This window comes from Homo sapiens, chromosome 8 (assembly GCF_000001405.40).
Source record: "Homo sapiens chromosome 8, GRCh38.p14 Primary Assembly".
Classification (NCBI taxonomy): domain Eukaryota; kingdom Metazoa; phylum Chordata; class Mammalia; order Primates; family Hominidae; genus Homo; species Homo sapiens.
This window is the reverse complement of record NC_000008.11, coordinates 39,701,716-39,728,292: the sequence shown is the minus strand read 5'-3', so window position 1 is coordinate 39,728,292 and position 26,577 is coordinate 39,701,716. Positions and strand designations below refer to the sequence as shown.

The window sequence follows — 26,577 nt, the reverse complement described above, 5'->3', positions numbered from 1 at the left end:
GATGGCTGCTTTTTTAAAAAAAAATGTGAATATATTGTTTGGATATTTGTCCTTGCCCAAATCTCATGCTGGATTATAATCCCCAGTGCTAGAGGTGGTGCCTGGTGGGAGGTGTTTGTATCATGGGGTGAATCTCCCATGGTTTGGTGCTGTCCTGGTAATAGTGAGTTCTTGCAAGATCTGGCCATTTCAAAGTGTGTGGTACCATCCTCACCTGACTCTCTCGCTTGCTCCTGCTTTTCTCTTGTGACATACCTTTTGCCCCTTCACCTTCTGCCATGATTGTAAGCTTCCTGAGGCCTCCCTAAAAGCTGAGCAGAAGCCAGCACCATGCTTCCTGTAAAGCCTGCAGAACTGTGAGCCGATTAAGTCCCTTTTCTTTATAAATTGACCTCAATTTCTCATATTTCTTTATAGCAATGCAAGAATGGCCTAACATAGAAAATTTGTACTAGCAGTGGGGCATTGCCATAAAGATACCTGAAAATCTGGAAGCAGTTTTGGAACTGGGTAATGGGTTGGGAGAGTTCGGAGGGCTCAGATAAAGACAGGAAGATGAGGGAACATTTGGAACTTCCTAGAGACTAGTTAAAATGACTGTGACCAAAAGGCTGACAGTGATATGGATAGTTAAGTCCAGGCTGCCAAGGTCTCAGAAGGAAATGAGGAACTTCTGGGAACTGGAACAAAGGTCATGTGTGTTACGCCTTGGCAGAGAGCTTGGCTGCATTTTGTTCATTCCCTAGGGATCTGTGGAAGCTTGAACTAAAGATGACCATATAGGATATCTGGCAGAGAAAATTTCTAAGCAGTAAAGTTTTCAAGATGTTGCCTGGCTGCTTCTAACAATCCATAATCAGATGGGGGAGCAAAGTAATGATTTAGAGTTGAAATTTATATTTAATCAGGAAGCAGAGCATAACAGTTTGAAAAATTTTCAGCCTAGCTTTGTAGCAAGAAAAAGCTTTGAAAGGAAAGCTTTGAAAGGAGAGGAATTCAAGTAGGCTGTGGAGCAACCACTTGCTAGAGATATTAACATAACTAAAAAGGAGCCAAGTGCTAATATCCAAGACAATGGGGAAAAGGACTTGAATACATTTCAGGGACCTTTGTAGCAGCTCTTTCCAAAATATAGGGATGCCATCCTTGTGTTCAAGTAGGTCAGAGGCTAATAGGAAACTAGACATATTGAAGAAATGTCATAGCTAGAAATAAATTATAAATTCATTTTTAGGATGTATACAACTTTCTCTGGGAATGCAGTTAAAATAATTTAGCTTTCTCTATCAAAAGTAACTACTTTTGGTAAAAGAATGTCACATTTGAGATTTAAGCTAATTGGGTAAGTAAATAAACTTTTTATGAAAGTAATATTAAATTATTCAAAAGTTTTAAGTGTGTGTTAATTTTGCATCTTAGAAAGATTTTGTAAGATGGTTGTCAAATAAAATTTATGGGAGGTTATTTTTGAGCTGAGTTCTTGCACTAGTCTCCAACAGAAGAAACTAAAATGGAGCCATTCACCCTAAGGTGCCATGTAACCAAACTGAAACTAAGTTGTTTATCTGACTTTCCAAGAAATCAGGAGAGAGATTAAAGCCTAATCCTTACCTGAAACTATAAAACTTCTAGCAGAAAATAGAGAGAAAGCTCCTTGCCATTGGTCTGGGCAATGATTTTATTGGGTATGTCACCAAAAGCACATGCGATAGAAGCAGAAATAAAGTGATTGCATTAAACTAAAAAGCTTTTGCATAGCAAAAGAAACAATCAATGAAATAAAAAGGCAGCCTATAGAATGAGACAAAGTATTTGCAAACTATATATCTGATAAAGGGTTTCATAATATCAAAAATATATATGGGTGGCCAGGCACCATGGCTCATGCCAGTAATCCCAGTACTTTGAGAGGCTGAGGCGGGAGGACCACTTGCGCTCAAGAGTTTAGACAAGCCTACGCAACATACGGAGACACTGTCTCTACAAATTATATATATACACACACACACACACAAATGTGTGTGTGTGTGTGTGTAGATCTCATACAAGTGAATAGCAAGAAAGCAAATAACCTGATTTAAAAATTGTCAAAGAAGCTTAATAGACATTTCTTCAAGAATACATACAATTGAATAACAGGTATATCAAAAGGTACTTAACATCACCAATAATCAGGAAAACATAAATGAAGACCACTATGAGATATTACTTTCCATTTAGAATGGCTTACTTTACATCTTAGGTTAACATAGTTGTTATTGAAAAAAGGGAAAAGAGAGCAAGGTTGGTAAAGACATGAAGAAAAAGAAACTCTTGTACAATGTTGGTGGAAATATAAATTGGTATAGCCATTATGGAAAACAGTATGACGGTTCTTCATAAATGAAAAATAGAACTACCATATGATGTGACAACCTCACTTCTGGGTATGAATTCAAAGGACTTGAAATCAGGACCTTGAAGAGATATCCGCACTTCCATGTTCATTGTAGCATTGTTCACAATAGCTATGATATGGTAACAACCTAAATGTCCATCATGGGTAAATAGATAAAGAAAATGTGCCAAATGTATGTAATGGAAGATTACTCATCCTTAACAATGAAGAAAATTCTCTTATTTGTTATCTCATGAATAGATGTAGAGGACATTATGCCAAGTGAAATATGCCAGACAAAATTTGTGTGAAATATGTCAGACAAAAGTTGCATGATCTTAACTATATGTGGACTCAAAAATAATCAAATTCATAGAAGCAGAGAGTAGAACAGTGGTTGCCAAGAGATGCGGGAGCAGAGAATGGGAAGGTGGTGGTTAAAGGGTACAAAGATTCAGTTATGCAAGATAAATTCTGGAGCTCTACTATACACCACAGTACCTATAGCTAACAATACTGTATTGTATACTTGATATTTGCTAAGAGGGTAGATCTATATCAAGTGTTCTTACCTTGGTAAAGCAACAACAATAATATAAAATTTGGGAGGAAACTTTGGGAGGTGATATATTTATGGCCTTGATGGTGATGATGGTTTAAAGGGGTATACTTATTTCCAAACTCATCAAGATGTATATATTAAGTATGTATACGTATTTGTATATCAATTATACTTCCGTGAAGTGGTATAAAACTGATAGAATAACTAGACAAAAAATCAGCAAGGATATAGAAGACTTAAACGATACCATCAACCACCTTGACCTACCTGTATTCTATAGAACTCCCCACCACGCAGTGGGTATTCACAATAGTAAATACACCTTCTATTCAAGTGTATTTGGAACAGTCTTCAGGACAGACTATATACTAGGCCTATAAAAATTCTCAAAAAATTTAAAAAATTTTAAATTTACAATGATTGAAATCAAATGAAGTATATTTTGTGATCAGAGCTCAACTAAGTTGAAAATTAACAAGGCAAAAATCCTGGGAAATCTATAAATATTTGGGAATTAAACAATATACTTCTAACTAATGTATGAGTCCAAGGGAAGAATTCACAAGAAAAAACAGAATATTTTGAACTGAATGGAAATGAAAATATATGCTATCAAAACGTATAGAATGCAGCTAAGCCTAAGGGAAAATTTACGGATTTAAATGCCTGTATCAGAAAAACAAAGATCTCAAAACAATCATGTAAGCATTGGCCTTACAACTACTAGAAAAAGAACTAGCCAATCCCCAAGCAAGGAAAAAAAAGTAGATAAGAAATATTAACCTGTAATTAATGAAATACAAAACTGAATAACACTAGCAAAAAATAATTATAACAAAAAGTTGGATCTTTTAAAATATCAGCAAAATTAACAAACCTTTAACCGGTCTGAACAAGAAAAAAAAGAAAATGCAAATAAACAAAATTAGGAATAAAGTATGATAATTCAATACTGACCCTACAGACATTAAAATGATTACAAGAAAATACTACGAATAACTTTGTGTAACAAATTATACAATTTTGAAGAAAGGGACATATTTTTGAATTCACAAGCTTCCAAACATGACTTAATAAAGAACAGAAAATCTGAACGGATTACAAGAACAAAGATATTAAAATGGTAAGTAAAACCAACACCAATGTGTAATGAGATCTAACTAGAAGGGCACTTAAAATAATTTACCAACTATATTCTTTTCTGACCTAGTAAGTCTTTGGTACAGCATAGGATACTCATCAGGAAAAGTTCTAGAACATTGAGAATTTTGGCTTGCCCCAATATAATAACAAATTATTGAAACACAAAATTATAAAGATACCACTTACATTAGATTTAAAATAGTATATTTAAGAATTAATATAACAAATGTTATATAAAATGCATGACACTGGTTAATGACTAGGATAATTAAACCTAATACATTGATTCTATATCATATTTACCGATTATACTCTGCATTCTCTCTGTTACATGATTTACTTATTTCATTTCTTTTAAAGATCACAGTGGTGAAAACTATGAAAAACGGCAGAAAAATGCAGAAACTCAGAATAAACCAGTTGTTCCAGTGTGTATTGTAGCCTTTTTCAGTATAAAAGTCACCTAGAAATGAATCATATGATAAATTAGTGGGGACTCAGTGGATATTTAAATAAATTTATATTTTTTCACTTAATCATATACGTGTATATATAATGAAGTTTTAATGCATTGCAAACTACTAGGAAAAATAGAACATAAATGCAAACTACAGTGCTATATTTTTCATAGATTTTCTGTTTATTTACACATATTTATTTAATATTAACCTGCTGTATACATGTTTAGAGTGCTGTTTGCTGCATTCAGCTTATTTGTAACATCAATACTTTACAAGTTAATACAGTAATAGGGATTAAGTTACAATTTTAAAAAATGTATACTTTGAGAAACCACCATCCCACTCGCTTGCCAAATCAGTTTTTTCCTTAGAGAAAACCATTTATAAATGACTCATTTCTCTCCATCTAGTGTTTATATTCTATGTATGTAAACAAAATTCATACTTATACCTATACTTGTATCCGCATCTATATCTATATATCTATACATAACATGTGCATCTGTGTGCATGTGTGTATGTGTATATCTTTCCACTCATTGACATTCTATAAGCATATTATTACCTTTGTTTTTTTAATACTTAAAAAGTTGAGATATCACACAATTCTGAGAAGTATACAATATGTAAATATATTAGCAAAATCAGCAATGAGTTAACTAAATGAATATGCACATACCCACTCTCCAGGTCTCAAAAAGGATCCTGTTATAATTCCAAAGCACTGCAGGACATTTCCTAATCCTTCTCCTCTCCAAACGTTACAATGATCATGGTTTGTTTAATTATTATTTATTTAGTGAAATTTATTGATGTATATAACATAGTAACAAAAATGTGTGCCATAAAGTTGTACTGCTCAAAAGACATTTACATTGAACAAGACCATGTAACCAGCAACAAATCTAGGAAACATAACTCCCCAACTTAGTTTACCAGACACTGTCTTTCCCAAAGAAAATCACTAATTTTGCCTCTAAGAGCATGAATCTTATTTCCCTTTCATTTTGGCTTGCTATTAATTTAGACACATTAACTATACTTGTATCTTTTCATGTTGTATACACTTTGAAAAATAGATTAAGGAGGTACAAGTGCAGTTTTGCTGCATGGATATATTGTGCAGTGGTGAAGTCTAGGCTTTTAGTGTACCTATCATCGGAATAGTGTACATTGTATTCAATAGGTAATTTTTCACCCTTCATATCTCTTTCACCTTCCAATGTTTTGGAGTCCCCAGTGTCTATTATTCCACTGTGAATGTTCATGTGTACCCATTGTTTAGCTCCCACTTATAAGTGAGCCAATGCAGTATTTGGCTTTCTGATTCTGAGTTATTTCACTTAGGTTAATGCCTCCAGTTCCATCCATGTTGCTGCAAAAGACATGGTTTTATTTTTTTATGGCTCAGTAGTATTCCATGATATATATATAAAGAAATATAAATATGTATTCATCAATGGACGACTGGATAAAAAACACACGGCATATATATATATATATATATATATATATATATATATATATATATACACACACACACACACACACACACACACGGTATAACCAACAAAGTAGGCAGACAACCTTATAGAATGAGAGGAGATATTTTATATATAAATAAATATATATGCACCATGTGTTCTTTATCCAGTCCTCCATTGATATATATATGATATCAATATATATTACATGATAAATATATATGTGTGTGCATATATATATAATGTGTTCTTTATCCAGTCCTCCACTGATGGACACTTAGGTTGATTCCATAACTTTGTTATTGTGACTAGTTCTGCAACGAACATATGATGTATAATGATTTCTCTTCTTTTGGGTAGCTAGCAAGTAGTAGGACTCCTGGATTGAGTGGTAGTTCTATTTTTAGTTCTTTAAGAAATCTTCATACTGTTTTCCATGGTTATAGTACTAATGTACATTTCCACCAGCAGTATAAAAGTGTTCCCTTTTCTCCACATCTTCACCTACATCTGTTGTTTTATGACTTTTGAATACTAACCATCCTGATAACATAACTCATTGTAGTTTTAATTTGCATTTCTCTGATGATTAGTGATGCTGATCATTTCTTCATATGTTTTTTGGCCTCTTGGATGTCTTCTTTTGTAAAGTGTCTGTTCATGTCTTTTGCCATTTTTTTGATGGGGTTGTTTATATTTTTTCTTTTGGAGTTTTAGTTCCTTATAGACTCTGGATAACAGTACTTTGTTGATATATAGTTTGCAAATATTTTCCCTCATTCTGTAGGTTGTCCACTTACTTTGTTGATTATTAGTTTTTCTTTGCAGATGCTTTTTAGGTTAATTAAGAAGCCCCATTTGTCCATTTTTACTTTCGTTGCATTTGTTTTTGAGGTCTTTGAGTCATAAATTATTTGCCTATACCAATGTCCAGAAAAGGTTTTCAGTAAGAACTTTTATACTTTCAAGTCTTACATTTAAGTTGTTAACCTGTCTTGAGTTAATTCTTGTATATGTTGAAATACATAGATTTTTTCTTCTGCATGTGGCTATCCAACTTTCTCAGCACCATTTATTGAATAGGGTGAGTGTGGATCATTTTTGACAGATTTTAAATGTTATATAAATGGAATTATACTGCATGCACATTGTTTTCTGACTTTGTTCATTATTACTGACTTTTGAAATTCACAGATGTTGTTGCTTATAGTTGCAAAATGTTTATTCTAATTGATGCATACTATACCTTTGCATAGAAATAGCAGGTATTAATTTCTGATATTCTGACAGACATTTGGGTAGTTTGAAATTTGGGGTATTATGAATAGTGCTGCTGTGAATATTCTACAGCATGTCTTTTGGTCAACATTATGTTTGAAAATCAGATATATGCATACACGGGAAGTGTCAATGCTTGCATATTCCCACATTGAACATTAGTAAATATTTCCAGTGATTTTCCTAAGTGGTTGTATCCATTATATTCCTATTAGTAGTAAATGAGTGTCTTCATTTTTGCTTATCTTTGGTATTTTTCTTCTTTTCATAGTTATTCCTCATATAAAATGAAATGCAAACACCACTGTACAGTTGGATGAAAGCTCACAAATGTAAACCCCATGAGGCAAATATTTTAAATATTTTTTGTTTTGATGTGTTAGTTTTTTCATTTAATATAAAGTGTTTCTAATATTTTATTTGATAAAGAATGGGTTTAACTAGTGCCCGAGAGTTGGCAACAAAATAGTGTAAATTCTTTTATAAATTATTTTAATTTTGTTATTTTAACAGCTTTACTGAGAGATGATTGACATGAAATAAATGCCCACACTTTAAGTGCATAATTTGATAGGTTTTGTTATTTGTGTACCGCCATGAAACCATAAAAATGCAAACAATGCATATATCCATAATCCATACACATTTCCCAAGCCCATTGATCCTGCCATGTTGCTACTCCCCACACAGGCAGTCACTAATCTGGTCTGCATTCTTTCATTATAAATTAGCTTTCATTTTTTATACTTATATATAAATAGAACAAGACTGTATGTATTCTTTGTAGTCTAACATGTTTCATTTAGCATAAATGTTGAGATTCATCCATATTGGTGTATATAACAACAGTTTATTTCTTTTTATTATTTGATAGTATTCCACTGTATTGAGAGACTACACATTGTTTAGCCATCATCTGTTGATTTATATTTACATTGTTTCCAGATGTTATCTATTACAAAAATTGTTACTATATAGATTTTGACTTATATTTACATTGTTACCAGATTTTATCTATTACAAAAATTGTTACTATATACATTTATATGGAAGGCTTTGTATGGGCATCAGCATTCTATTCTACTGGGTAAATTGTATAATAGCTGATTTATGTGATTTGTATTTACCTCCTTAAGAATCTCTGAAACTATAAATTTTGTTTTAAATATCAGTGTTTTAAATATCAGTATATGGTTCCTACCCTCACATCTTGGCCAAAGTTAATGTGGTCAGCCCTTTTAAATGTAAACAATTTTTAAAGGAATGAGTAGCATCTATTTGTGATTTTAATTTGCATTTCTCCAATGACCTATGTTGTTGGGCGTCTTTACATGTGCTTATTTTGCCCCCCTTTTTTATAGAGTTGGTTTTTTAAATTAAGTTTCAAGGATTCACTATATATTCTGAATACAAATACTTTATCAGGTATATATTTTACAAATATTTGTTAAGGGGCAGTGGCTTGCCCTTTTATTCCCCTAACAGTGGCTTTTGAATAGCAAAAGTCCTAATTTTTTTATGTTGTCCAACTTATCACATTTTGGGGTCATATTTTTGGTGTCATATCTACAAAATCTGCGCTCAAAGTCCCTGAGGATTTCTCTTATGTTTTCTTCTAGAAGTTTTAAATTTTGGTCTGTAATCAACTTTGAGTTAATTTTTGAACATGGTGTGAAATACAGCTCTAAGTTTATCTTTTTTACATATAAATATATAATTATTCTAGCACAATTTGTTTAAAAAGCTAAAGTTTATCCATTGTATTGCTTTGAACATTTATTAGAAATCCATTTTCCATATATTTGCATGTCTATTTCTGGTTTCTTATTCTATTTTACTGACCTGTATGTCTGTTAATGACAGTACCACGCTGACTTGATAACTGTAGCTTTATAGTGAGTTTCAATATTGGGCAGTGTATTTCCTCCAACATTTTTTTTTCAAAGTCATTTTAACTATTCTTGGTCCTTTGAGTTTTACAATAAGGTTTACAATCAGCTTATCACCTTCTGCAAAAGAGCCTGATGGATGATTTTGACAGAAATTTTCTTATATGGATAAACAAATTTAGAGATTTCTGCTCTTTTAACAATAGTGAATCTTTTGATCTATGAAAATTGCATGCCTCTCCATTTATTTAAATCTTCTTTAATTTATCTCAGTAATGACTTGGAGTTTCCAGTGCACAATCTCACATTTTCTGGCTAAATTTATTTGCAAGTATTTTATTTTCTGATGCTATTTTTTGTGAAATTTTTTATTTTCTTTTGTGTAGGAAGAGCACCTACCTAACGAGAGATCTAGATTGTTAGAGTTTTAAGTGTACTTATTGTTGACTATAGCTACAATGTTGTACAGCAGATCTCTAGATCTTACTCATCTTGCTTCACTGACACTTTATGCCCATTAATTTGTAATTTTCCACCCCATCATACTACCACCCCAACAACCACCATTCTATTCTTTAATTATATGAATATGACTATATTAGGTACTTCACATACGTGGAACTGTGGAACATTTGTCTTTCTCTGACAGCTTATTTCACTTAGCATCATGTACTCAAGATTTATTCATGTCACTGCATATTGCAGAATTTTCATTTTAAAGGCTGAGTAGTCCTTCATTACATGTATATGCCACACTTCCTTTACCCACACATTATTGATGAACATTTAGGTAGTTTCCACATCTTGAGTATTGTGAATAGTGCTATGATGGATACAAAATTGTTAATTTTGGGATGCTAATTTTAATTTCTTTAAATATGTCTCCATTGGTGGGATGGCTGGATCATATGACAGTTCTATTTTCAATTTTTGAGGAACCTCCATACTGTTTTTCATAACAGCTGCACCATTTTATATCCTTACCAACAGTATGCAAGGGTCCCAAGTTCTTCACATCCTTTATTTGTTGAAAAATAATAGTCATCCTGACAGGTATGAGGTGATATCTCATCATGGTTCTGATTTTTATTTCCTTGATGATTAGTGTTATTTGCATATTTTTTCACATACCTGTTGGCCATTTGTGTGTTTTCTTGAAGCAATGTCTACTCAAGTCAACCCATTTTTTAAACAAGTTATAAGGTATTTTGTTCTTTGTTTGTTTTCACTATTAGGTCATAGGGATTTCTTATATATTCTTATATATTTTGGATATTAACTCTTTATCAGATACATGGTTTGCAAATATTTTCTCCCACTCAATAGGTTTCACTCTGTTGATTGTTTCATTTGCTGTATAGAGCTTTATAGTTTGATATAGTCCCACAATGAAATCATTGCCAAGATCAATGTAATGAATCTTTTCTCTCATGCTTTCTTCTAGGAGTTTTACATATATAGGTCACATTTTTCTTTAATTCATTTTGAGTCCATCTGTATGTATGGTGTAAGATAAGAATCCAACTCATTCTTTTGTAAAGACTTTCTCAAACATACCAAAATTAAGGGAATCCATCACCAATAGATTTACCTTACCAAAAAATTCTAGAGGGAGTTCTTCCGGTTGAAATGAAAAGATGCTAAACAGCAAAATGTCAGGATAAAAAATTATAAAACTAGTTGGCAAAGATAAATATAGAGACAAAAATAGAATACAGTGTTGCTGTAATGGTGATGAGTAAATCACTTTTAATTTTACTGTAAAAGTTAAAAGACAAAAGTATTAAAAATAACTATAAAAATACGTTACAAGATACACAATATGAATAGATGTGAATTGTGACAACAATAACACAGAGTGGAGGAGGGTGTAAATGTGTAGTTTTTTTATGTGATTGAGCTTAGATTGTTAATGGCTTAAAATGGACTTTATAAGTTACTTTATATGAGCCACAAGTAGCTAATCACAGACACGCAACACACAACTATACAAATTTCACACACACAAAAAGAGTAATCAAAGCAAATAAATACAAGATATTCCATGCAAATACATACATAAATAAAAATATTCCATGCAAATGCCAAAATGGAGCATAAGTGGTCAGACTTATATCAGACAAAATAGACTGTCAAAAAGTGTCACAGTAGACAAAGTCTTTATGTTATGATAAAACAGTCAATGCACCAGAAAGGTATGACATCTGAGCACCCAACATCTGACCACATAAGTATATAAAGCAAACAGTGACTGAACTAAACGGAGAAATAGATATCAATACAATGATGGTAGGAGACTTCAATGTCACATGTTCAATAATATATAAAATATCCCAACAGAAGATCAATAAGAAAACAGAGAGTTTGAATCATACTAAACACCAAATGGACCTAACATACATACACGAAATATTCCACTCAACAGCAGCAAAATGCGTGTTGCTCTCAAGTTCACACAGCTCTTTCTCCAGGACAGATCAAATGTTATATCATAAAAATAAAAGTTAACAAATTTAAGAAGATTGAAATCAGAATAAGTATCTTCTCAGATCACAAGGGGATGTAAGTAGAAATCAATAGCAAAAGGAAAACTTGAAAATTTACAGAATGTGGGAATGAAACAAAACACTAGTGAACAATCTTTGTGTCAAAGAAGAAAACAAAATGGAAACAAATACCTCAAGACAAATGAATATGAATATGCAACATGCCAAAAATTATGGGCTGCAGCAAAAGCAGCACTAACAGGGAGGTTCATGGTGATTAACACTTGCATTTTAAAAAATGAGAGAGAAAGATTTCAAATAAACAACCTAACATTACCCTTCAAAGAACTAGAAAGAGAAAAATGAACTTTGCCCAAAATTAGCAGAAAAAAAATAGCAAGTATTAGAGCAGAAATAAATGAAATAGAAAACAGAAAAACAAACAAACAAAAATCAGTGAAACTAAAAGCTGTTTTTAAAATGGCAAACAAAATTGATAAAACATTACCTAGAAAAAAGAGAGAGAGAAAATGCAAATAAATAAAATCAGGAATGAAAGGAGAGACATAAAATCTGAACAATTATGAGAAATTGATGAGAGACATTGGTCTGTAGTTTCCCGTCCTCGTGAAGTCTTCTGGTTTTGCTACTGGGGGCGATGCTGGCATTATCGAATGAGTTAGGAAGTCACACCCCTGCTTCTATTTCCTCAAAGGTATTGCAGAGAATTAGCGTAATTTCTTACTTAAATGTTTGGTTATATTCACCGGTGGCTATATCTGGGCCTGACAGCTTATTTAACGGAAGGGTTTTAATTATTGATTTAATTCTTTTAGTATGTATAGGCCTATTAGAATTATCTGTTTCATCTTGTGTGAGTTTTGTTTTATTGTGTTGTTCAATGAATTGTTTTTTTATAAAGATTATAAAATATTTGAGAATAGGGTTATTTACAATATTTCTCTATTACCGCTTACATGTTCATTTGATCAGCAGTTAGCCTTCTTTCATTTTCATACTAATAAGTTATGTCTTTTTTCCATTTTTCTTGGTATGGCCAGAGGTTTATCAATGTAACTGATGTTTTCAAAGAACCAGTCTTTCATTGATTTTCCTTTATTGATTTGCTTTTTTTTTTCTATTTTATCAATTTTTACTGTACTGTTTTCTTTTCTTTATTTTGGATTTACTTTAACCTTCTTTCCCTAGTTTGCTAAGGTGAAAGCTTAAATTTCTGACTTTAGATATTATATACGCATTCCATGCTGTGCATTTTTCTGTAAGTTTTGCATTTGATGGGTCTCACAAATTTTGATAGGTTGTATTTCATTTTTATTTAGTTCAAAATTATTTTAAAATTTCTCTTGAGACTACTTTAACCCATGTGTTATTTGTGAATTTGTTGCTTAATCTCCAAGTATTTTAGGGCTTTACAGTTCTCTTTTTGTTACTGATTTCTAGTTCAATTTCATTTTGGTCTCAGAACATACATAGTAGGATTTCATTGCTTAGGCTTGTTAAGGTACATTGTAAGACAAAGAATTTGATCTACAATTGAGAATGTTCTGTGTGGTCTTGAGAATAATGTTTATTCTGCTCTCATTGTATGGAATATTCTCTAAATATAACTAGATCAAGTTGACTGATCATGGTATTAAGGTCAATTATATACAGTAAATTCTCACTTAACATTGTCTGTCTGCAAGTTCTTGGAAAATGCAACTTTAAGTGAAACAATATGAGCAGGTCCTCAAAGAAAAAATTGTTTTTTCAACAATGTTTCATTATAATATTGATGAGAAAAGATGGTTTCATTGTATGTCCTTTCATTTCAAGTCACAGTTTTGAAGAACTTGATGGAATTAAGTGAGGACTTACTATACTTACTGATTTTCTACATGTTGATGTGTCAATTACTAAGAGAAGGGAGTTAGACTAGTCAACTCTTATAGAGGATTTTTCTATTTGTCCTAGAAGTTCTATCAATCAGATTTTGCCTCATTTATTTTGATACTGGTGTTACACACACACAAAGATCTTTCTCCAATTTTTTACTTTTAATTTACCTGTGTCTTTACATTTAAAGGGTGCTTCTTGTAGACAACATAGAGTTTGGTCTTGTTTATTAAATTTCTTCTGATATACTCTGACAGTCTCTGTCTTTTTTTATTGTTACTATACTTTAAGTTCTAGGGTACATGTGCACAACATGCAGGTTTGATACATAGGTATGCATGTGCTATGTTGGTTTGCTGCACCCATCAACTCATCATTTACATTAGGTATTTCTCCTAATGCTATCCCTCACCCAGTCCCCCATCTCCCAACAGGCCCTGGTGTGTGATGTTCCCTGCCCTGCAACCAAGTGATCTCATTGTTCACTTCCCACCTATGAGTGAGAACATGCAGTGCTTGGTTTTCTGTCCTGTGATAGTTTGCTCAGAATGATGGTTTCCAGCTTCATCCATGTCCCGGCAAAGGACATGAACTCATCCTTTTTTATGGGTGCATAGTATTCCATGGTGTACATGTGCCACGGTTTCTTAATCCAGTCTATCATTGATGGACATTTGGGTTGGTTCCAAGTCTTTGCTATTGTGAATAGTGCCACAATAAACATATGTGTGCATGTGTCTTTATAGTAGCATGATTTATAATCCTTTGGGTATATACCCAGTAATGGGATGGCTGGGTCAAATGGTAATTCTAGATCTAGATCCTTGAGGAATCGCCACACTGACTTCCACAATGGTTGAACTAATTTATGCTCCCACCAAAAGTGTAAAAGCGTTCTATTTCTCCACATCCTCTCCAGCATCTGTTGTTTCCTGACTTTTTAATGATTGCCATTCTAACTGGTGTGAGATGATATCTCATTTTGGTTTTGATTTGCATTTCTCTGATGGCCAGTGATGATGAGCATTTTTTCATGTGTTTTTTGGCTGCATAAATGGCTTCTTTTGAGAAGTGTCTATTGATATCCTTTGCCCACTTTTTGATGGGGTTGTTTGTTTTTTTCTTGTAAATTTGTTTGTGTTCTTTGTAGATTCTGGATATTAGCACTTTGTCAGAAGGGTAGACTGCAAAAATTTCCTCCCATTCTGTAGGTTGCCTGTTCACCTGGATGGTAGTTTCTTTTGCCATGCAGAAGCTCTTTAGTTTAATTAGATCCAATTTGTCTATTTTGGCTTTTGTTGCCATTGCTTTTCGTGTTTTAGTCGTGAAGTCCTTGCCCATGCCTATGTCCTGAATGGTATTGCCTAGGTTTTCTTCTAGGCTTTTTATGGTTTTAGGTCTAACATTTAAGTATTTAATCCATTTTGAATTAATTTTTGTGTAAGGTGTAAGGAAGGGATCCAGTTTCAGTTTTCTACATGCGACTAGCCAGTTTTCCCAGCACCGTTTATTAAATAGTGAATCCTTTCCCCATTTCTTGTTTTTGTCAGGTTTGTCAAAGATCAGATGGTTGTAGATGTGTGGTGTTATTTCTGAAGTTTCTGTTGTGTTCCATTGGTCTATATATCTGTTTTGGTACCAGTACCATGCTCTTTTGGTTACTGTAACCTTGTAGTATGGTTGGAAGTCAGGGAGGGTGATGCCTCCAGCTTTGTTCATTTTGCTTAGGATTGTCTTGGCAATGTGGGCTCTTTTTTGGTTCCATATGAAATTTAAAGTAGTTTTTTCCAATTCTGTGAAGAAACTCATTGGTAGCTTGATGGGGATGGCATTGAATCTACAAATTACTTTGGGCAGTATGGCCATTTTCACGATACTGATTCTTCCTATTCATGAGCATGGACTGTTCTTCCATTTCTTTGTATCCTCTTTTATTTTATTGAGCAGTGGTTTGTAGTTCTTCTTGCAGATGCCCTTTACATCCCTTGTAAGTTGGATTCCTGGTATTTTATTCTCTTTGAAGCAATTGTGAATGGGAGTTCACTCATGATTTGGCGCTCTGTTTGTCTGTTATTGTATAGGAATGCTTGTGATTTTTGCACATTGATTTTGTATCCTGAGACTTTGCTGAAATTGCTTATCAGCTTAAGGCAATTTTTGGCTGAGACAATGGGGTTTTCTAAATATACAATCATGTCATCTGCAAACAGGGACAATTTGACTTCCTCTTTCCCTAATTGAATACCCTTTATTTCTTTATCTTGCCTGATTGCCCTGACCAGAACTTCCAACACTATGTTGAATAGGAGTGGTGAGAGAGGGCATCCTTATCTTGTGCCAGTTTTCAAAGGGAATGCTTCCAGTTTTTGCCCATTTGGTATGATATTGGCTGTGGATTTGTCATAAATAGCTCTTATTGTTTTGTGATACATTCCATCAATACCTAGTTTATTGAGAGTTTTTAGCATGAAGGGCTGTTGAATTTTATCAAAGGCCTTTTCTGTATCTATTGAGATAATCGTGGTTTTTGTCATTGGTTCTGTTTATGGGATGGATATTAACATTGAACGTGATTATTGATATATTTGAATTAATATCTATTGTTTTATTGTTTTAGCCCTTGCTATTTATTGCCCTTGTTTTTCTTATCTTTTATCTTTCACTGTTTTTTTCTCGGGGGGGGGCCTTCTCTGATTTTAGTTGACCATTTTATATTATTCCATGTTATACTTCATTTTTAATATTTTTTAGTGCTTGCGCCAGTGTTCAGTGCCCTGAATTTGTCCTGTTTGCAGTTCATTAAGCTTCTTGGATTTGTATATTTATGATTTTCATAAAATTTTAAAAGTTTTGGGGCATTATGTCTTCAAATAGTCCTTCTCTCTCTTTCTTTCATTATTCTCTCCATATGGTACTCACAAAATGAGAATGTTGTTCCACTTGGTAGTGGTCTTCAGGTCTCTTGGGCCCTGATCAAATCTCTCCATTCTTTTTGCTTTCTGGTCCTCAGATTCAACCATTTCAATTGTTCTGCCTACAAGTTTACTGCTTCTTTTTTCTCTCTGCCCAAATTCACTTTTAAACCCTTGTAGTGAATTTTTAATTTTAGTTATTGTACCATTCAGCTCCAGAATTTGTTCAGTTCCATTTAGTAATTTCTATCTCTATTGATATTCTCATTTTGTCCATACATGTTTTTCTTGATTTTCTTTAGTTCTCTGTCCATGTTTTCCTTTAGGTGTTTGAGTACATTTTAAAGCCGTTGTAAGTCTGATTTTTGAGCTTCCTCAGGGATGATTTCTGTCAATTAATTTTGTTCCCGTGAATAGGTCATGCTTTCCTTTTCCTTTTTAAGCCTTGTGAATTTTCATTGTTGTTGAAAATTGGCTATTTGACTGTCATAACAAGGAAACTCTGATTATCTCCTCATCTACCTTACTCAGGGTTTGCCAGTTTCTTGATTTTTGAAGACTTAATTAGTTCATTTGTTTAGTGACTTACCAGGCTATTTTTGCAAAGACTGTATTTTTTGGCTTTGTAGTCACTGAAGTCTGACTCCCAGAGTTTTTGTTCAGGTAATGTTTTGACAGTGACTTTTTGGAAAACAGGAGCTAATTTTTAATACTAATAATAAGTACATAGCCAAAAAACAAAGGAAACAAGCACAAACAAAATAACTCTTAACTCTTCTATTCAGTGCAGGCTGAGTCTGTGCTGGAGCACTGCTTTTACACTGAGCCAGACTTTCGCTGAGCCTAGGAATTAGCCTCAGGTGACAGCTCATTATCTTCTTTGATATTTTCTAGCATGAATCTTGCAATAATCATGCATATGGCATTCTAAATTTTCCATATATCCACGTAATTTTGAATTTCCTTGTTAAATTCCTAGTTATTTTCTGCTCTGTCATTTGTTCTAAACATACTTGTTATATCAGCCTAGCAGGATAGTTAGTCCTCCATGTTCTCCTGACAACATAACTGCCAGTGTAATCAACAATACTCCAACAAATATAGTAATTCCCTTTTTCCTCCCACCCCACCCTGAAGCAGCAAACCTAATGGCTTTCAAATATAGCTTCATCCTAGTTGAACTACCATGTTGACGAAGTTGGGTCAGGCTAGTCTAAGGTAAGAAATCAGTCTAGGGTAAAAAAGCCTGGACTTGCAGCCTTGTTAACAGAAGTAGTTTTCATGAACAAAAGTTTATTTATATTTATCTTGCCTGAGATTCACTTAGCTTCTTGGATACAAGTACTGACTTTCTTCAACTTGTTGAGAAAATTTGGAGTCATTATTTTTTCAAATGTCTTTTCTGTACATTCTTTCTCATTTTTTATCTGAATTACCCTTTAAGTATATACAAGAAAAATATATATTGCCTTAGAAACATGTAACTCATTTCATCTATTTTTCCTTTCTCAAATGTCAGAATTGTTTACTTGTTGACAAATACCTCATACAATTTTCTAGAATTATTCTGTCACAGCCAAAAAAGGAAGTCCTTATTGCTGTTCCTTTTAATCTTCTTTTTCAGAGATTAATAATCTCAGAGATGTTTCTGAATCACTGTTGCTTACAGAAGTTATCTCCAGTGTTTTTATCTCATCTCACTCTACACAACTGTATCATCCCATGAGTTACTTTGATTAGCTAAACAACCTATAAACTAAGTATGACCATTCCCTGATACCCTTAACGACACCAGCATCAAACACGCAGTGATATTGTCACATTAATTTTCCCACAGATAACTAAACCTCTGTCTATCCAAACTTAAATGCATTATTTTCATGCTCTGTTCATTCTCTGATATTTTCATGCAAACTTTTTATAACTGTGCATACATAAAACACATTGATCAACATGCCTTTATTCATTGTTATTCACAAAAATTGATATTATGTAGCAACTTATTTTTCCTTTTATTGTTTACTTTGGGACCTTAAAATTAAAGCTACTGCTTTCCAGTAATTTTCATTCATTAAGACTCACATCACCAAACCTATTTACCACATTGCTGCCTGGGTGGACTTTATAAAATGTGAATCTCAATTTTATTGCCTCACCAGACACCCAATAACATGTCTGTGGAGGGAATGTATGAATGAATGAATAATTGAATCAATAAGTAGCCTATGATATTGACAGAGATGGGAGGCAGAGAAATTTTAGGCAGAAAAAGGCAGGTCCCCAACTAAGGCTGAACCTCAAGCTGAAAAGCCTGAGACTGCAGCCCAAAGTGAGAACTAATATCCCTGTTTTCTCACTTGAATGTTGCCTTTTCCTAAACCACCCATGGTCCTATTCCACCCCCATCCTGTGCCTATAAAGACCCCAGACTCAGCTGGCACAGAGGAGAAGCAGCTGGACGTCAGGGACTATGGCTTGACATTGAAGAGAAGTGGCTTGATTTCAGAAGGACAGCTTGATGGCATAACTTCAGAGAAGAATCTGGCTGGAGATGGCTGGACTTCAAGAGAAGATTACCTTCCCACCCCATCCCCTTTTCGGCTCCCCTTCCCACTGAGAGCCACTTTCATCAGCAATAAAATCCCCTGCATTTACCATACTTCAATTTGCTCACATGACTTCATTTTTCCTGGACACCAGACAAGAGCTCGGGAGCCATGAGTGCGGATGCAAAAGACTGTCACACTGGCTCTTTGCCCTTGCTGGCAGAGAGCTACCACCTCACATGAAAAGGAAGAGGGCCCACTGAGCTGTTCACAGTTGTTAGCAGATGGCAGAGCTAAAGGAGCACTGTAACATGCCCTCTGGAGCTTCAAGGGTCACTGGAACCTCTCCAGATGCGGGCGCAGGGCCCGCACTGTGTTTGCTCCTGCCAATGCTCAAAAGTGCTCACCTTGGCCCCTGCACCTTGGCCCCTGCACCCTGCACCTGTGTTCTCCCTCCTTCAAGGGTTGGAACACATCAGGTCCCAGTGAGTGGAGTTTGCCACTGCTGGCACTGAAGCAGCCAGCTGGTTCCAGTGCTCATGCACTCCAGTTCCCACCTCATTCACTCACACACTCCCTCCTGCAAGGAGTTGAGAACTGCAGGTTGTGCAAATGAGGCACCCCTGTCACAGGTCCCAAGAAGGGGTCAGGGAACTATCCTGTTTCAATATTGCCTTCATTTATAGAAACAAATAAAGCATAAATGTTATGCCATCACTCAAAATGTGATTGATTTTACTATCCTTTCTTAAAGAAATGCATTTATATTTTGCCATGTTTTTCCAGAGTTCATTGAGAATAAATACTGTATGGTACAGTTGTTTTTTAACAGCCTACAGAGTTTGTAATAATATGGAATGAAAATCATTTGTTTAGTTTTTATAATTCTATATGAGATTTTAAAAATTTTGTTGAATGACATTTGTTGAAACTTATTAGTACTGTGTTCTAACTTATTTGAGTTAATTGAAGCTGAATATCTCTGAGAATATCTGATTATAAATACTGTGTAAGATTACAGTAGTCACTCCCCCTTATCTACAGTTTTGGTTGCACAGTAACAACCATGGGCAACCACTGTCTGAAAATATTAAATGAAAAATTCCAGAAATCAACAATTCATAAGTTTTAAACTGCATGCTGTTCTGGGTAGCATGATGAAATCTCCCATCATTCCTTTCTGTCTCACCCAGGACCTGAATCATTCCCAAGTCCAACGAATACATGCCGTATATGCTACCTGTCCATTAGTCACTTTGCCATCTTGGTTATCAGGTTGACTGTTACGCCGTTACAGTGCTTTGTTCAAATCACCCTTATTTTACTTCATCATGATCCCAAAGGGCAAGATTAGTGAGGTCATCAATTTGTATATGCCAAAGAGAAGCCAAAAATTCTTTCCTTAAGGAAAAGGGTGAATACTCTTGACTTCATAAGGAAAATATATTAATACATACATATTCCAAATATATGTAAGAAAAAATGTATATGTATACTTACAAATGTATGTGTATAATTATAAATATTTTAATATTTAAATAAACTTGTATGTTTATATTTACAAATGTCAACATTTGACAAAATATACATACAAAATATACATACATACATATTTTCCTTAATAAGGAAACTATTCATTGCTAAGATCTATGGTTAAAACAAATCTTCAGTTCATAAAATTGTAAAGAAGGAGAAAGAAATCTGCACCGGTTTTGCAGATGTATCTCAAACTACAAAAGTTAAGACTGCAGTGCATGATAAATGCTTAGTTAAGACAGAAAAGACGTTAAATTTGTAAGTAGAAGACATGAACAGAACATGTGTTCTGATTAACAGCAACGTGTTGCACCAGAAGACATTTGAACCTGTAGAAATACTTCAGCATGGAATTCCCTGAAATGAGTGAGCCATTTATTGCAAGTAAGAGATGGTTACACAGATTCAGGAATAGGTTTGGACTGAAAAACAGAAAAATTGCTGGAGAGGCTGTGTCTCCTGATGAAAAATCAGCTGCCACAGTCTTCTGGAAGACCAGTAGAACCTTCAGTAATGAAAGTGCAAAGGAGACGCCATGGCATAAAACATGGAAGGACAGTTAATCATTGCTGTTACTGAGCCTGATTGATGATCTTTATCATAGATATGTATATGTAGGAAAAAGCATAGTACATTTAGAGCTTGGTGCTATCTACAGTTTCAGGCATCCACTGAGGGTTTTAGAATGTATCCCCCACAAATAAGGAGGGACTGCTGCAATGTAGATGAAGCTACCATTCAAGATGACTTAGATTTGTTTAATTAACTTTATATAAAACAACCTTCTATTTTGCTTTAGAAAACAAATTTCCACTTACCAGATTTCTGAAAATTTCCATCATCAATACTACCCCCTGGGGAACCAAACTGGAATTTACAATCTGGAGGTCTATGTCCAGGGAAGCATTGACAATTACCAAAATTATTACATATCTGAAACAGAAAAATACAGAAACAGTTTGAGTCGTCTTAGTCTTTGTATCTGATACAAGGTCTTTGTATCTGATATAAATAACTAAATTTCATAGAATAATTATTTTTTCTTAAGATTATTATGACTATATAATGTGAGAAATAGGTTAGAAAAAGTGGTAAAAATTTTGACAACATAATGGCCAAATGGGAAAATACCTACATGAAAGTTTATTTCTGGCCTCTATACATTGAGCATTAATGTCTTCTTCAATCGTCTTTAAAAAATAAGATTTAATAAAGTTGTAGTCTTCATATTCAGAGAGGTTAAATTTTTTAAATGACTGTTATTTAGTAATTTGGAAACATTCGTTGTCACTATTTGGACATTTTCTATTCATGCACTTCAATGTCTATAGAAAGCATTGTGATAAAATAAATATCAATTGATTGGCCACTTTAATTCCTTATCCTAGCCCCTTTTCAACATTTGACATTATTGGTCAATAATGTGCATTTTATTTTTAAGTAATTATATTTTCCATAATAAAATAACATACGTGCAAAGCAAATATTATAAATCAACAATCAAATACAACTTTATGATAAGATTCCATTGCTAGAAGTTAACATTTGACAATGTTTCTGTATTATTCATGCCTTTGTATTAATATTTCTACAGTTTAGTATTTTCATTTTAAAATAAAACAAGTAAGTACATATTTTGTAAAATTCAAACAATAAAAGTGTATAGAACTGAAATTCCTCAACCACTATTTAAGTCCCATTTCCAACTGCTAAAGATGTTGTGTTTCATTCATATATATCAAATGCATTTATAAATACACGTACTCACATCCACAAACACACATATACATTAATAGATTTTTACCAAATAATATCCATAACAATATACTATGAACTTCTTCTCATACCTGTATGTATAAAGACATCACAGGCACATTTTTAAAATTAGACTCATAATATTCAGTAGTGTAAGTATTCCCTGTAATTTTCCTATAGATATTGTGTCCTTTCCGTTTATACTCATTTTGCTAAATTGTTTATATAGTATATTGAAATTGATTACCTCTTTTCTACATATCAAAAGAGATTTCAATAAAGTGAGTTTGAATTATAGCCCTGAATTCCATGAAGTAGTATTCTATTTTATATATCCATGTTTTTGTTGTTGAATATTTAGTGCACAGTATTTTAATATTAGAATCAGAATATCACTTATGCATTTTTTTAGATGGGGTCTTGCTTTGTTGCCCAGGCTGGTCTTGAACTCCTGGGCTCAAGTAATCCTCCTGCATCAGCTTCTCAAATTGCTAGGATTACAGGAGTGATCTGGCCTTATGCATCTTTTTAACTTATTCCACAACTGTAATCCTCTTCTGAATTAATTTACATTTATTTAAATACCTGAAGACAACAAAGGATCTCATTATTTTATTTTGCTAACTTTAAAAGAAACAGCCAGAGCAAAGCAACTTTAACAAAAGATGAAGAAAAATGTGATATTTTGGAGATTACGTAACAATTGGCTTTCAAAGAGAAAAAAGAAAAACAAGCACAAACCTGGCAATAATTCTAAGAACACACACACACAAAAGATAACCTTACAATATTCTGTACAGTGTAAAGAGACTAAATATAGCATCAGACTCTTCCCTGATAAGACTAAAAGCAACTGTATAGTAGAACAGAGTTTCAAAGTTTGAAGGTAAACCAAAATATGATAATTCTTAAACAACAAAAGTGTCATTTATATGGAAGACCATCATTTTTGCATTTTGATATCAATATCTCTGAATGCATTTTTCTCACATATATATTTTCCTCTATATTTTGACAAAGTGTTATTCCAGTTCCCCACCCCTCCAATGAAAGTACAAGGACATGACAGAACATTTGATCTAGGATAGCAAATCTAAATATATTATACTTTTAACTGTAACATAATTAAAACACAGAATTAACATAATGCATATAATCCCTTATAATATCAGGAACTTCAAGTCCAAAATTTCCCAAAAACCACAAATGTTAGAGGTTTAAGGTAAAGGGTAGGTACAAACGCAAAAATGGTCACTCCTTAACTGCATGTGCAAGGAGAAATAGGTTTTATTTAAGCTGGGCATAGAAATAGACAAATAAGGAAAAATAAACAAATGTTTAAATTCCCAGGTAACTGGGTCCCCCCAGCCAAAACAAAGTCACATTATAGAATTTACTTTGTATTAGGGCAAGTCATGGCAAGATAAAACATTAAAAATGATTTATAAAAAATTTAAAAATATGTTGAATTTTATCAAAAGCCTTTTCTGCATCTTTTGAGATAATTGTGACTTTTTTGTCTTTAGTTCTGTTTGTGATGAATCACATCTATTGATTTCCATATGTTGAACCAACCTTGCATCCTGGAGATGAAGACTATCTGATTGTGGTGGATAATCTTTTTTGATGTGCTTCTGAATTCGGTTGACCAGTATTTTGTTGAGGATTTTTGCATCGATGTTCATGCAAGATATAGGCCTAAAATTTTAATTTTTTGTTGTGTGTCTGCCAGATTTTGGTATCAGGATGATGCTGTCCTCATAGAATGAGTTAGGGAGGGGTTCCTTTCCAATTTTATGGAATAGTTTCAGTAGTAATTGTACTAGCTCATCTTTGTACCTCAGGTAGAAATCACCTGTGAATCTATCGTCCTGGGCTTTTTTTGGTTGGTAGGCTATTTATTACTGCCCCAATTTCAGAGCTTGTTATTGGTCTTTTCAATGATTCAATTTCTTCTTTGTTCATTCTTGGGAGAGTGTATGTGTCCAGGAATTTATCCATTTCTTCTAATTTTCTAGTTCATGTGCATAGAGGTGTTTATAATATTCTCTGATGGTTGTTTGTATTTCTGTGCAGTCAGTAGTAATATCCCCTTTATCATTTCTGATTGTGTGTACTTGAATCTTCTCTTTTTTCTTCTTGGTTAGTATAGCTAGTGGTCTATTTATCTTATAATTTTTTCAAAAAATAAACTCCTGAATTGGTTAATCTTTTGAATGTTTTTGTGTGTGTCTCAATTTCCTTCAGAAAAGACTTCTGATAAAATTCAACATCCCTTCAAGTTAAAAACTCTCAATAAACTAGCTATTGAAGGAACATACCTCAAAACAATAAGAGCCATGTATGACAAAACCACCGCTAACATCATAATCAACGGGCAAAAGCTGGAAGCATTTCCCCTTGAAAACTGACATGAGCTAAGGTGCCCTCTCTCACCAATCCTATTTAACATAATATTTACAGTTCTGGGCAGGGCAATCAGGCAAGACAAAGAAATAAAGGCATTAAAATAGAAAGAAAGGAAGGTAAATTATTCCGCTTTGTGGATGACATGATCCTATATCTAAAAATAACCTCATTGTCTCAGCCTCAAAGCTTCTTAAGCTGATAAGCAACTTTAGCAAAATCTCAGGATACAAAATCAATGTACAAAAATTGCTAGCATTCTGATACACCAACAACAGTCAACCGGAGAGCCAAATCGCTAATGAAGTCCCATTCACAATTGCCACAAAAAGAATAAAATACCTAGGAATACAGCTAACTAGGCAGGTGAAAGGTCTCTACAAGAACTACAAAACATTGCTCAAAGAAATCGCAGATGACACAAATAAATAGAAAAACATTCCATGCTCACGGATAGGAAGAATCAATATTGTGAAAACAGCCTCACTGCCCAAAGCTATTTATAGATTCAACGCTATTCCCGTTAAATTAACATTGACTTGCTTCACAGAACTAGAGAAAACTATTTTAAAATTCACTGGGAAGCAAAAAAGAGTCCAAATGGCCAGGGCAATCCTATGCAAAAAGAACAAAGCTGGAGGCATCAAACTACCTGACTTCAAACTATATCACAGGACTACAGTAATCAAAACTGCATAGTACTGGTACAAGGACAGAACACATAGACCTATGGAACAGCAGAGAACCCAGACATAAGATCACACACCGACAACTATCTAATCTTCAACAGACTTGACAGAAACAAACAATGGGGAGTGGATACTCTATTCAACAAATGGTGCTGAGATAACTGGCTAGCCATGTGCAGAAAACTGAAACTGAACCCCTTCCTTACACCATATACAAAAATCAACTTAAGATGGACTAAAGACTTAAAATTAAAATCCAAAACTACAAAAACCTTGGAATAAGACCTAGGCAATATCATTCAAGACATAGGCACCGGAAAAGATTTCATGATGCAGATGCCAAAAGCAATTGAAACAAAAGCAAAAATTGACAAATGGGATATTATCAAAGAGCTTCCATACAGCAAAAGAAGCTATCAACAGAGTAAACAGACAACCTACAGAATGGGAGAAAATATTTGCAAACTATGTATCTGAAAAAGGTCTAATATCCAGCATTGATAGGAACTTAAATTTACAAGAAGAAGAAAAAAAACCCCATTAAAAAGTGGGCAAATGACATGAACAGAAACTTTTCAAAAAAGACATACATGCAGCCAACAGTTATATGAAAAAAAGAAAAGCCTAACATCACTAATCATTAGAGAAATAAAAATCAAGACCACAATGAGATACCATTTCATGCCAGTCAGAATGGCTGTTATTAAGAAGTCAAAAAATAACAGATGCTGGCAAGGTTGTAGAGTAAAAGGAATACTTATACACTGTTGGTGGGAGTGTTAATTAGTTCAGCCACTGTGGAAGACAGTGTGGTGATTCCTCAAAGACCCAAAGACAGAAATCCCATTCAACCCAGCAATCCTATTTCTGGGTATATACCCAAAGGAATGTAACTCATTCTATTATAAAGACACATGCAGGCATATGTGCATTGCAGCACTAGTCACAATAGCAAATACATGGAATCAACCTAAATGCCCATCAAGGATAGACTTAATAAACAAAATGTGGTACATATACACCATGGAATACTATGCACCCATAAAAAGTATGAGATCATGTCCTTTGCTGGGACATGGATGGAGCTGGAGGCCATTATCCTTGGCAAACAAACACAGGAACAGAAAATCAAATACCACACGTTCTCACTTATAAGT

At 33.8% G+C, this 26,577-nt stretch overlaps 1 protein-coding gene across 3 annotated transcripts in view, besides 1 other annotated feature; it reads right to left on the bottom strand.

Moving 5' to 3' along the window:
- The window catches only part of ADAM18 (ADAM metallopeptidase domain 18), a 145,498-nt gene that overhangs the window by 1,773 nt on the left and 117,148 nt on the right, over positions 1-26,577 (bottom strand). For all 3 annotated transcript variants that reach the window (NR_135201.2, NM_014237.3, NM_001320313.2), the window contains 2 exons: positions 21,389-21,503; positions 4,386-4,545 (listed from right to left, as the gene is read on the bottom strand). Coding sequence is in view for 2 of the 3 variants with exons in the window: in NM_014237.3 (NP_055052.1) it covers positions 4,386-4,545; positions 21,389-21,503 (275 nt within the window). In the remaining variant the exon portion in view is untranslated. The remainder of the gene's footprint in view (positions 1-4,385; positions 4,546-21,388; positions 21,504-26,577) is intronic.
- Positions 641-1,362: an enhancer, noted in NCBI's record as "OCT4-NANOG-H3K27ac hESC enhancer chr8:39584450-39585171 (GRCh37/hg19 assembly coordinates)". NCBI's record gives its function as "activates a minimal SCP1, AML or CMV promoter by ChIP-STARR-seq in primed H9 embryonic stem cells {active_cell/tissue: H9 hESC(primed)}" and the evidence as "EXISTENCE:reporter gene assay evidence [ECO:0000049][PMID:30033119]".